A 12,992-nucleotide genomic window follows, 5' to 3' on the forward strand; every position below is an offset into this window, starting at 1 on the left:
TGGCAAAATATTTTTTTTTACAACCAGATCTGACTGCCTTCCCAGCTTTATCTCTTTTTCTATTTCCTTATCCAATCTCTGCCCCAATTAGACAGATTATGCACAGTTTCCAGATACTGACATTTTATACAATTCCACAGTAGTAAATGATTTGTCTGGTTGATTTACTAATGCATCATACACTGTCTTATGAGATTTCTTCTTTGGTCTTGGATTACAGTTAAAACCTATATTTTTGCATGTTACTTTTTAAAAGCCTTAGCTAGAGAATAAATCCCTTAAGTACAGTGTTTGTGCAAACTTTGGCAAGTTACTTAAAATTTCTGCATCTGAATTCTCAACTAGAAAATAATGACACTATAAAGACCATTGCTTCACAGAGTTTACGGGAGGATTAAGTTAAATAATATAAAGGAAGTTCTCAGTGAGCACTGGCTGTAAATTTGTCATTATCTGTGTATTGAAGATAAATGCTCAGTAAATATTTGCTTTTATATTTGAAATGTACATGTTATTAGACAAAAAGACTGGTAAGGGAAGAAGAGTATGATATGCAAAGTTGGAAATAACAAGAAAAATAATTCAAGTCAGAAGCAAACTGAAACCTCTGCTGTGTCCTAAAATGGGAATGACTGTATCAGCACATTTATGGCAAATTGGGATTGTTTTGGACAGCCTATTTCTGATTAAATCAATTGCCCCAAGATTCTAATATAAGCTTATATGTATTTTCCATAGTGTTATGGCAGCAAATCTTAGCGACTTTCTTTTTTTTTACTCTTTATTTCTTCTAAAGAAAACACGGGAATACATGTGCAGAACGTGCAGGTTTGTTACATAGGTATACGTGTTCATGGTGGTTTGCTGCACCTATTGACCCATCCTCTAAGTTCCCTCCCCTCAATCCCCACCCTCCAACAGGCCCTGGTGTGTGTTGTTCCCCTCTCTGTGTCCATGTGTTCTCAATGTTCAGCTCCCACTTATGAGTGAGAGCATGTGGTGTTTGGTTTTCTGTTCCTGTGTTATTTTGCTGAGAATGATGGTTTCCAGCTTCATCCATGTCCCTGCAAAGTACATGAACTCATACTTTTTTATGGCTGCATAGTATTCCATGGTGTATATGTGCCACATTTTCTTTTTTTTTTTCTTGGTTCTTTTTTTTAAATTTTATTATTATTATACTTTAAGTTTTAGGGCACATGTGCACAGTGTGCAGGTTTGTTACATATGTATACATGTGCTACTATGTATACATGTATACATGTGTTAAGTATACATGTGTTACATATGTATACATGAACTGTCTACCACCTGCTCCTGGGAACAAGAAGAGAGATTAGAGTCTGACCAGCAACCCTGATTTATTCTTACTCTTCAGGCTCCTGATTTCAGTAACTGTGGTGAACATGAATGTCAGGATCTAGTGTACATGTAGCTCATGAACACAACCACTGAAAGGCAGAAGATGTATAGCTATGAGAGTGGTGGAAGACGGATTTTTATTAGTAGGGGAGCTGCCTACCTGATGTCATAACCATGTCACATTATAGGTCAATGTCAACTCACTGTGGCGTTTGTCTTCCTCTTGTTGATCAGGGGGTTCTGAGACTACTACTTTCGTCTGGTTTTTGTAGTAACAATATTTTCCTCATTGGGTGTGTATCCCTTATCCTTCCTCTCTTCCTTTGGTCTAAATCTTCCCATTTTGACTCCAGCTGATAATCTCAACTTTCATTTACCTCCCTCCTGAGCACATCGAATGTGTTTATGTTGTTGTTTCTACTACTGTGGGTCCTGCTTGATGGCATCTAGCTCCCAGTGGATTTTTCAATAGCCACAATTATGGAAAGAAATCCAGGGAGGAATCCCCAATGGTCTTTTTTTAAGTTTTCTTGGGGAAATTCTTAGAGCATCTATCTACTTCAAGACAGGAGGCAGTGTGCCTCATTATAGACAAGTACACTCACCTGTGATATTTTATGTTGGAAGAAAATTTCTCAAAGAGTGAACAAAAGGTCTGAGCAAAATATGTCTTGAAGTCCTTGTTTGAACTTGAAATGGGGAGGGAATGCCAATTAGGAGAGACAAAGTGTGGGGTCAACTCTAGAATCTATTGAGATAAAATTTGAGCCTAGCTTTGTAAGTTTTCCTTTTGTTTCTCGATTTTGTATTACATTTCTCTTAAGATACTTGACACTATAAGCCTGGATGAATTTCTCTTATAGTTGATTCCACTTCTCTGTAACTCAGGCCCTACTGGCAAGATATTATTTGTTGATTGTTGTTTTAGAAATATACAGAATCCTTCTATAAGAATGAATAAGACATTTCTTAGAATTCTGAAAATTTGATAAGTACAGAAGATATGAAAAAATTCCAAATTTAATTAAGATTATAAAACACTAGATATGGTTTTTAAAAATTATACAGTACCAAGAAAGTACTTATTAAAGTAGTTACACTTTCTGGATGTCTGTTTTTCAATTGCTTCTCAGTTCAGTCACATATTGCCTCACTTTTCATTGTGAACTTAATCTCTTAGTTCAGTTATGTAAAACTCTTAGAGGACAGATAATTTACTGTACTACTTAACATCAGATGAAACTGGACCAAAAAGCAAAGCCTGTTATATGTTAATGCAAATAAATTTGTTACTATATGTCTGTGAAAGTGAGTGATAAAACCAACCAATCTGAAATGGAAAGACACTCTGAGATCCTATTTATCAGGAATTCAAACATTAATGAACAATTAACTAATTTATCATAGTAGCTTTAGAATAAGGATAAATATAATAGATATTTACAGGTGAGGATACTACTTATAGATTGGCTTACCTTTGTCTGCAATATTGCATGATAAGATACACATTATAATGTCATGAGAGATTCTTAAGATTTCTCTTTAGTGTTTTCTACAGTATAAAATATTAAACTATGTTTAGCATAATTTGTCTTCATTTCACTTCCTAATTATTTGAAATTGATAAACAGATATTTTAGATAAATAGGCATTTCTTGGTTGGTTAAATAACACATTGTTAGTGATGAGGAATGGCTGTCTGGGTAATTCAAATTTTATTTTATTTAGCTTGGGAGGTAGTAGAAATTATTGGGAAAGTAAGTTAACCTCCTATATGGATTATTTGCCTTGGGAGAAATAGGCCTGGATCCTAACACATAATCTTGCCAGAGGAAAACAATTGGTTTTAAAGAGGAACAGAAAAGAGATTGCAGTGACACAAAATCCATCACTTCCTCCAGAATAGCAATTCAAAGCCATCATCCTACAGAAAGGAAAGTAGAACATCAGTTCTAAACATGAAAGACAGGCTTTTTGTTGTTGTTGTTGTTGTTGTTTAATATGCTGCAGCACTAGCAGGCTTATCTTAGTTACCTTTTGCTTACAGTACTTCTGCAATTCATTTGCAAAAATGTCCTGAGGACTCAGCAATTGGCTCTGAAAGAAGATGGGGCGGGACTGTCATGGACAACAGCAGATAGCCAAGCTTGGGTTTGAAACATGCACACAAAATTCAGTGTAGCAATCCCAGTGCACTGATGTGACTGCGTTTACATTTTCTGTTCTTGCTGTGTGCCTTAGGCTATCTGAAGGATGTCTCTGTTCTTTCCTGATTGAGAGATATATTTCCTGTCTCAAGTTGCTGCTTTTGCCCTAATTAAACTATCTATAAAACATTTGGCATCTAGGGAGTTTCTTCTGGGTTAATTACAGAACTGTGAGCAGCTTTTGCAGGAGAAATGAAGTTCAGTTTCAGACGAGATGGGTTTGTGTGAGTTTAATGTGTGGTTACCTGTGCAGAGGCCTAAAGGTTTGACTTTCCCAATACTTCTCTCCCTCACCATCCAGGCTGGTCTGAATTTCTAGTGCCTGTATCTGGCTTCTCTTCTATTTTCACTAGCCTGTGAGTTCCTTGAGGGCAAGTCTTATGCTATTGTTCTCTTCACTGCAAAACTACTAGAATGCTTACATATTTTAGGTATGGGAGGAGGAGGGAAGGAAGAAACCCTGGTGAATTAAAATGGTTCTGATGAGATACAATACAGCAGTTTCCTATGTTTGACATTATTAATACAAAAAATAGTTCTTACATAATTTTCTTGATATTTGAAAGAAGAGGGGATGATATGTATTATTATTGGTCAGGGAGAATATTCCAGACAAAATGCTTATGGGACATAAAAAAATAACAAAATTGTTGTGAGTAGAGAGCAGGAGGCTGTTTTTGTTATTTAAGAAGCCTTTGGGTACTTTGCTAGGTTGCACAGAAGAAATGTGAAGATGAATCAAAAAGGATCTACCATCACAAGCTCTTGCATCTTTTGGGGGAAGGAAATATGAATACAGAATTATAAGATTTAGTATTGCAACAGGAATGGTCTGCTAGGGAGGATTTGGAAGTACATTCTTTCCAAGCAAAGAGGTAAAGAGATATCTTGGGTTAGAACAGAGAAAAGTATAGTAAGGGGCAGGGCTATTGTTGGGTCTGAATTTCATGAAGTGGACATCAAAGAGTCACTTCTTGCTGCAGGGAAAATCTACTGTTTGTTGAAATTGCTCACTTTCCAAACACTCTGTTCATTCCATTCTTAGAGGGCAGGGTCTGTTGCTGTTTGGCTCACCATTGTGTTTCTCAAACCTAGTATAGCTCACAATATGAAGCTGGTGCCCAGTAAATATTTATTGTGTGAATGAATAAAGTGTCGGTATCTCCATATTGTCAGTATTTTTAAAGCTTTTGAATTCAAATCCAGGTTTCTAGCTAGCTAGATTCCCCTTGAATATATCTTTCACTTCTTCATCGTCATCAGTAATCTACTCTGTGTTGACTAACATGCAGGTAGTGGGCTCATAAAAGATTCTTTTAAATAGATGCCATGCTTGGTGTGAGTAAAACAGTACAGAGGAAATTGAGCTGTCTCTCTAATGTCAGCATACGGGTCAATATTTTTGAATTTGTTAAATAGATACCTCCCTTCCAAATTGTGATCAAATATTTCTCATCTAGACACTGTATCTCAATTGCATTTATCGATGAAGGCAAGGTTATGCAACCTCAATTACAGTCCTGGAAAGCTGTCAACAAAATCTGATTAACAAGCACTGCTTAATTGTTAAAAAAAAAAAATGTAGGCAATGTTTCTTGGCTTCTGCCTGAAATCATAGCCTGGTAGGAAATTCGTGGATTTAAAAAAAAAAAGAAAAAATATTAATCCAAACAGTTCCTGAAGACACCACAGCAGGGCAGTGGCCTTAATTAAAACTATAACTCCTCTTGTTTTACCTATTTTGCCATTAAATCTATTTCTTCTTTGGCAAATGTAGGATATTTCTGTTTTGTTTATTATGCCACGTAAAACATGTTTTCTTTTTTTATTCTCAGATATACAAATAGCCAAATAGAATAATATCTGCAAGTTAACCGTAATTTTAAATTCTCCAGGGAACGAGCTTTTTGTTTTCAGGAAAATTGTGCTAAATGCCTTTGTAAAGCAGTACTCATCTTGATTTACCTGTTTTTGAAAGTATGAACTTATTTATACTAATGTATAATTGCACTTTTCTTGGAGACAGCAGCCAGCATGGCTACTCTGACAGCTGCTTTAAAAGGGGGCTAATCCTAAGTGCTGACAGGTAGCACTGCAATAGTTCGGCATCTCAGAGTTTGGAGATCTCTGACACTGTCATGATAAGGAAACCAGAGGAAAAAATGGGTGAAGAGTCTGACATGATTCCATATTTATGTTTCTTCCTGTGACCCTGTCCATTATTCCTAAGCAGGTTAAAGGACAAGGCTTACTTACTTGAGGCAAAATTCATAAAGGGAGAAAAGGTCAGCTTGTCCAAAAGCTAAACGGGCCATGATAACCAGGAGTTTCTCTGCTGAATCTTGGATAGGCTTGCCTTCTCACTGAAAGAGAGATAGATATGTTTACCCTATTAAAACATACTCTCTTAAAGACTCTCTTAAAGGACTTTAAAAAATATATACCTGTTTTTGTCCCATTCTCTTATTCAGGACTCTTTGAATTATCCCAAACATGCAGATAATTATTCCATGTATCAATGGGATCATCGATGAAGAAGAGATTATGAGTGAAAAATGAATACAGAATTATAAAACTTTCAAAAAACCCAGCAAAGTTTAGGAAGATTAAATGCAAAGTGAGAATGAAGGGGCTCTTCTGTCTTGCCCTCTGCTAGCCAAGAAATTGGTGATGCACCTCTAGCTTCAATTGACCTATTTGTATCTGTATATGAAGGACATATTGGAGTTACACTGAAGTGCTGTATAATAAAATTTTAAAATCTTTTGTTTTTACTTTTATTTTTCGGTAGTGATAGATGCACAGATCTTTCCTATCTCAAACCCCCTTCCAAAACCTAAAAAATTTCTTTATACTTTCGCTTTTATAGTTTAAGTGGATTCAAGTTTCCCTGCTAGTAAAGCTTGAACCTCTAGAGCCATCTTGCCACTTTGTTCATTTACAATCAAATTGGACCAGGGTTATGAAGCATTTCCTCAGTGGCTTAACTGGGTGACGATGTATTTCTCCTTGTCCCTATCATGTAATTTCAGCCCTACATTCTCTTAAGGGCCAGAGTCAATTCCTCCTGCCAAGTCTAAAGTGGCCAGGTGGCAACCATATGTTAAAAACCATATGATTTATCCACCTTGTCTCCTGATAGAAGGAGACCCCCTCTGGTAACTAGGTCCTATATAATGACAGAGAACGAAGTTGTAGGGATGGGGAGTACAAATACTCCAGTGGAACACTGAGAGTGGTAATAAGTAGGGCCACACCTACTTCCATTCCTTGGTTCCCAGACTCATGTATTTTATCTACTGGGGGCACAGTACCATGGGATAGTCATGAATTTAGGGTATATACTTCTTTCTGAATTATGAGACTTCTTTCTATTAGGGTATCATTTATAACCTGGTACTTGAAATATGCCTTAGAAGGGTATATATATGTATATGCAGATTGGAATTCTCTGGGCTTTGTTGTGATAGGAATAGTAGAGGAGTCTATAAGGTTAAATTGTAAATGGTGTGTACTTCCATGAGTCCAATGCTGCATCTCCACTAAGATGAAGTAGACCGCTTGGTCTAAAATTATGTGGGTGGGAAAGGTAAACATATCAAAAATCATGTCGATTCTAATTAAAATAAAACATTGTTCTTTCTAGAGCAGAAAAAGTCCAATGTGATCAATCTTTACCAAGTGGCTGGTCCATCTTCTTGAAAGCTGTTGTATCAGGTGCTCAACCTTTGTCTCAGCTGCTGGCAGATTGGGTATTTGGCAGCAGCAGCACCTAGATCAGACTTGGTGAATCTTACTGGGAAGGCTGTCCTCAACCTTCTAATCATCCATTATTTCTTTTGCTTGTATAAATTAAACAATCTCTGTGGAGCAGTGTGCATCTTCTTGCCTCTAGGAACTGCATTCTATTAGCCATCTCCATAGCTCTAAGTTAGGCCTCCATGGCTGCCACTCCAATGTTGCAACTTATTATGGTAATTGCATCCACATTGTTTCTGATAGTTAAACACTACTACCTAACCTCAATTGTTTTTGGTATCCTATTATTGCCCTTGTTATCAGAGCCTAGTCCTGTAACGTACCTGATATATAGATGATAGGTATCACTGAGATACTCAACAATGTTGTTCAGAATCTCACAATGACCTTACTTATCTCACTGGTGAATGGTGTGTACTCCCATGGAATATTCTTGGCTGATAGGTTTTCTGGCATTATATAGTATATTCACTCTAGTACATCTACTTCTCTGAGACTTATTATCCCTTTCTCTACCGTTTTCCATACTATTTCTTAGTGCAGACCATGAATTTTCAACCTTTTAAGAATTACTCTCGTTTTGTGTTAACATGCCTCCTATGGGTCCTTGCCAGGTGTTAAATTTAATATCACTGGAGAAGGAATGTATCCCATAATGATACATTCTCCTCTGTTTAACCTCGTATACCTCTCCATTGATGTAGCACTGACTGAATCCAGTCCATATGTGCTTTCCCAATTCCTACTTGTGCATACCTATTGGTGAGGTCTTACAGCTTCTTCAATATATAGCCTTTCTCCTCTCTTAACAGACCCTGCCATTTCTCAGCTGGAGAATGCTATGACTTTACTCTAGTTGTTGGTCTGGAGGTCCAGGAGGTTGTTTGTGGTAGATCTTCATGGTGGATGCAAAGATTTTCCTACAAGTAAGAAGCCTCCATATTGTCTTCAAGCAAGGATGAAGTGCTAGCCCCAACAAGAAGGAGAGGGTGACTTTTGCAATCTTAGAGGATTCAGGAGAATCTAGGGATCCAAGAGTTTCAGATGAATTAACCCAGATGTCCTATCCCGTGACTCACAGTCCTGTTTTTCCTAAGGCCTTGGCCTTGGCAAATCCAACCTGCCCAAGCTGAGAATTCAACCTTCTCTAGAGATTTATAACTCTTATGATTAATTCCTGGACCTGGTGCTCAGCTTTTTCTGAATCTGTGGCAAGAGGGAAGAATCTATATGGTGACATTGGAGGTCTGTTGTCTTTCAAGTCAGCTTTACATTAGTAATTAATCACTCTTCACTTTTGTTGTCTTTCTGTACTGCATCAAGAGGCCCTAGCAACAGTTACTGTATTCCAGAGTATGAATCACTTCTTCCCCTGAACCTCTCAAATACCTGAGATAGAGTATGTATGCACTAATTCATTCCCTTCTACTGATATCCCATCCCAGTCTACTGCCAGTGAAAACGTTAACAATCACACTGCTATAATACACCACGGACTATCCATTTTCTACATAGCATCAGTGATTAAGTCCTCATTTCTAGTCTAACTGAGGACATAGATAAAATATCTTATCTGGAGTCACTTCCTCAGTGCTTCCTTGCTATCAATTTTCTTAGGTCAGATTCCCAGGGAAGTAGGCTATGAGACAGAGAAATATACGCTGAACTTCTTTTGGATTAGGTAGAGGGAAAAGCTGAGCTGCAATGCATTTGCAATAGAGTCTTTGACCAATCTCACAGGAAACTCTGATGCCAATATGGTCCCTGTATTAAAGCAAGGGGTTCAAGCAATTGAACTCCCACATCCATTAGTCATTGGATGTATAAAGCAGCAGAAGAGAGAGAATGAGCACTTGACCGTGAACCTCTCTCAGGGAGTGAGTCAACTATGAACTCTTGGCAGCCAACATAACATTTTTGAAAGTTGAAGGGATGAGTGACTTAGTCCTGAAGGGGGTATCTGTGTGGCACGTTATGGCTGTGCCACATCATGTCTTTCCATTCATTCTGAGAGAAGGTGAGGATGGGAGGCTGGAATGCAAAGATTATGGTTGGCATTACATTGACTTGAGTATCAGGGATATTCAGAAAGTGTATGCACTGTGGGGTACCTCTTCCATGTCCTTCTTCCTCCAAAGACACAAAAGTTTACTCAGAGGATATTCTAATTGTTATTGTTGTTGTGTTTTTTTAATCTGCAACGTTTTAGAAAATAGCAGATTGTGGTCCCACGATCTGTGGTGTCAAAGATAGTCTCTCTAATTTCCTACAACATTCTTCTGGGTCTTTGCTTTATAGCTGTAGTCAAGGCCTCAATAATGGTCTAGGCTATGTAAGGGGAATGGACAAACACAGGTATAATTGGGGCCCTATTCTTAATGTAGTTTTATTGAAGAGAGAGATTTTACCTTCCTTTGTGAGAAGGAGCTTTTGATGGATAGACATTGTATATTTTTACCCCTGTGCTTATTATAGGTATAAAAAATTTCATATTACCTTCTTAATTTCTTCCTATTATTTCAATTACACCAATACTTGGACTTGCTATAGATCAAGTTATTAGCTGTATCTTTTGTGATTATTTATTCTCAGAGCTTGCTGATACTAAGCATGTTTTAGTTTTAAACAGAAGAGACGTTACACGTATAATTTGGTATCCCACAATAAGAATATCAAATTTTTAAAGAACTGGACTTGATATTTAAATTCCTTACTGGCAGCATGTATTACCTATACTTATATGGAACGTACTCTATCTTTGCAGAAAACTTTAAAAGATGTCTTGCTATCAGGTATTTTGAAATAATTTATTTATGGATTTACTTAAAGAGCACCTTAAGATACAGGAAAATGAAATTGCAGCTCTCTTTAGTGTGATGCTAATTTAAATTTTAATTATAAATGCCACACCCATTTCACTTGAGTGCCTTGAAGCATAAGTAATGGGCTTTTATCCAAGAATTAGAATCAAATGAAGTTCCATTGTGTGAAGAGAATCACACTAGATCAAATACTCTAAAGAGGAAAAGAGGGGAGGATTCTAATTCTGTAAGCATCTATGTTCTAGTCTGTTTTCTCCCAGTGCAACATTCATTAAAACTTAAAATTCTTACTTTTACTACAAAAGAAGGATGAATTTAGAGTTTTGCACAATTAATGAAGGGAGAACAGCTTGGAAGCCATGTCAATAGTCAAGTGTAAATCTGTGTGGTGAGGATTAATTGAATGTGTTTTTTAATGTGTATAGTATAGTGTCTGAAATATTGCAGAACTTATATAAAAATGTTTAATATTTTTAGTATTTTTAAAATAAAAAAACAAGATAATGACCTCAAGGGAACACTGATGAGGGCCTGAACTAAGGTGGTAGCTCTGGGAATGGAAAAGAGGTAGGAGGTATGGGAATGAGAGAAATTGTGAAGTTAAGGTTCATAAGATTTAGAAACTGGTTAGAGATGTGTGACAAAAAGATGGAGGAATGAAGGGTGAACCTGGATGTCCAGTGTGTATAATTAGGATAATATTGCTTTTGTATATAAATATTCTATGAGAAACTGAGGTGACATTATAGTTCATGCATGAAGATAAATTTGAAAATATTAAATTTGAGATGTTAATGGTTATATAGACCCAACTGGTCAACAAACAAATAGGAATTAATGCAAAGAATAGAAGATAGATGCAGACATATTGATTTGGTAGTTAGAAGAAAGGGGAAAAAAAGTCTGAAAAGAGCAGAGGGGCCAGTAAAGGACTTTGTTAGGGCTTCTTTGTAAAGAAGGAAACCTACTTAAATTGGTATCTTACTACCCTTCAGATAAAACTCTCATTAGCCCCAGTCTTCAACCTAGAAATCAATCAGAAAAAAAGGCAGCCCCTCCCTCTGGGGCCATCTGGTCTCTTATTTCCCCTCTTGTTCCTCTTGTCTACATTCTTTGCCCGCCCACCCCACCCCCCTGAAAGTTTTTTCAATGTTCAACTTTTACAAGGTTTATACTTGACTGCTTAAGTAAAAACTTTGTCACTTTCTTGTTGAAATGCCTACAAAGGCCTGATGAAAGACTTCATGTTCTCTCTCAAGTTCCCAAGAGAGAAACTTTCTGGACGAGTCTTAATCATGTGACCACCCAGATAGAAGTAGCTGTGGTCAGAGAGAGGCTCCAGCAGGTCCCATTGTCGTGGAAGTAAATAGACTGATTTAAAGAATGCCAAGTAGTTAATGGTTTCAGATGCAGTGATAGGTTGGAGAAGATTAAGATTTTATACAAATACTTTTTATGCCCAATAAAAGAGAAATTTCAGTAGAGTACTGAGGCTGGAACTGGATGGTGAGAGGTTGGAGATGAAAGGACTCGTGGAGAAGTAGAGAGAGAGAGGTTTCCATGATGCTTTTCAAGAGTTAGGTGGGAGGTGCAGTAGCTGGAGGAGGTAATGCTATGGAAGGACGGCCGAAGGCTCTTGTTCATTTGTTTGTTTTTTGTTTACAACATGGAAGATATAAATATGCTTATTGCTTAGGCTGGGTGGACCAGTAGGGAAAAGAGACTGAAGATGTGAGCAAAAGGAGAGATAACATTCCTAGAGGTGGTGAGAAGTGATTCCATTAAGAGAACAGGAAGAGATGTGATCCTTGGAAAGGAAGAATTCTTGCATATTAGAGATGTACAGCAAACATACAGTACTGAAACACGTATCTTTTTGAATACTTATTGTAATTTTGTTCCAATTGTGTGACAGTGAAGCTTTGGACAACTTCAGTTCGTCTTTAATCAAGAAGACGTTTCTGTATCAGGTAGAGGATTTCCAAGCAGGTTTAAGAGGTGAGGCCTGGTCTTTGCGGTAAAGATTAATGTCAGAAGAACCTTTTATTTCTTTAACACACTGCTTAGGCCCTTATGTCTTTGATTGCAGGGTTGAACCACTTTTTCTGTATATATTCGTATTTTATTATTTAGATATTTTTATTGGAGTACAATTTACAGTGAAGTGCATATATTTTAAGCTTACAATTAAAAGAATTTTTAAAAATGAAAACACTTAACCACTCTAAGATATAGAGCATTTCTATCACCCTAGAAAGCTTTCTCATATCCCCTTCAAGTCAATCTCCACTCTTCATAGCCAACCGTGTTTCAGATTTTGATTATCATAAATTATTCTTGCTTTGAACTTAATATACATAAAATCATAGAGTATGTATTCTTTTGTGCCTGGTTTATTTTGCTCAGCATAATGTTTATGAATGTCACATGCAGTAGTGGTTCATTATTCAAATATACCATAATTTGTATATTCATTCTCCTGATGGGTTTTTTTTTTTCATTTTTTGGCTATTATGAAAAAAGCTATCAGAAAAAATCTTATACACATTTGTTTGTGAAAATATGTTTATTTCTCATGGGTGAGTACTTAAGAATAAAGTTACTGAATCATAGGGTGCATGTAGGCTTAACTTTGTAAGAAATTAGCCATTCCTAAGGTGATTTTATTTTACATTGTCCTCTGCAATGTATAAAAGTTTCAGTTGCTCCATATCCCTTCCATCATTTGGTGTAACCAGTCTTTAGAAATTTTAGCCATTTTCATCTGTATGAAATGATATCTCATTTTGATGTTTTTATTTGTATTTTCTTTATAATTAATGCTGTAGAGTACAGTTTTATG

The 12,992-nt window shown here is 36.7% G+C and overlaps 1 protein-coding gene across 6 annotated transcripts in view; it reads left to right on the forward strand.

Moving 5' to 3' along the window:
* The window catches only part of UNC13C (unc-13 homolog C), a 795,839-nt gene that overhangs the window by 146,594 nt on the left and 636,253 nt on the right, over positions 1-12,992 (forward strand). The gene's annotated exons all lie outside the window — the stretch shown is intronic.

This window comes from Homo sapiens, chromosome 15 (genome assembly GCF_000001405.40).
Source record: "Homo sapiens chromosome 15, GRCh38.p14 Primary Assembly".
NCBI lineage: Eukaryota > Metazoa > Chordata > Mammalia > Primates > Hominidae > Homo > Homo sapiens.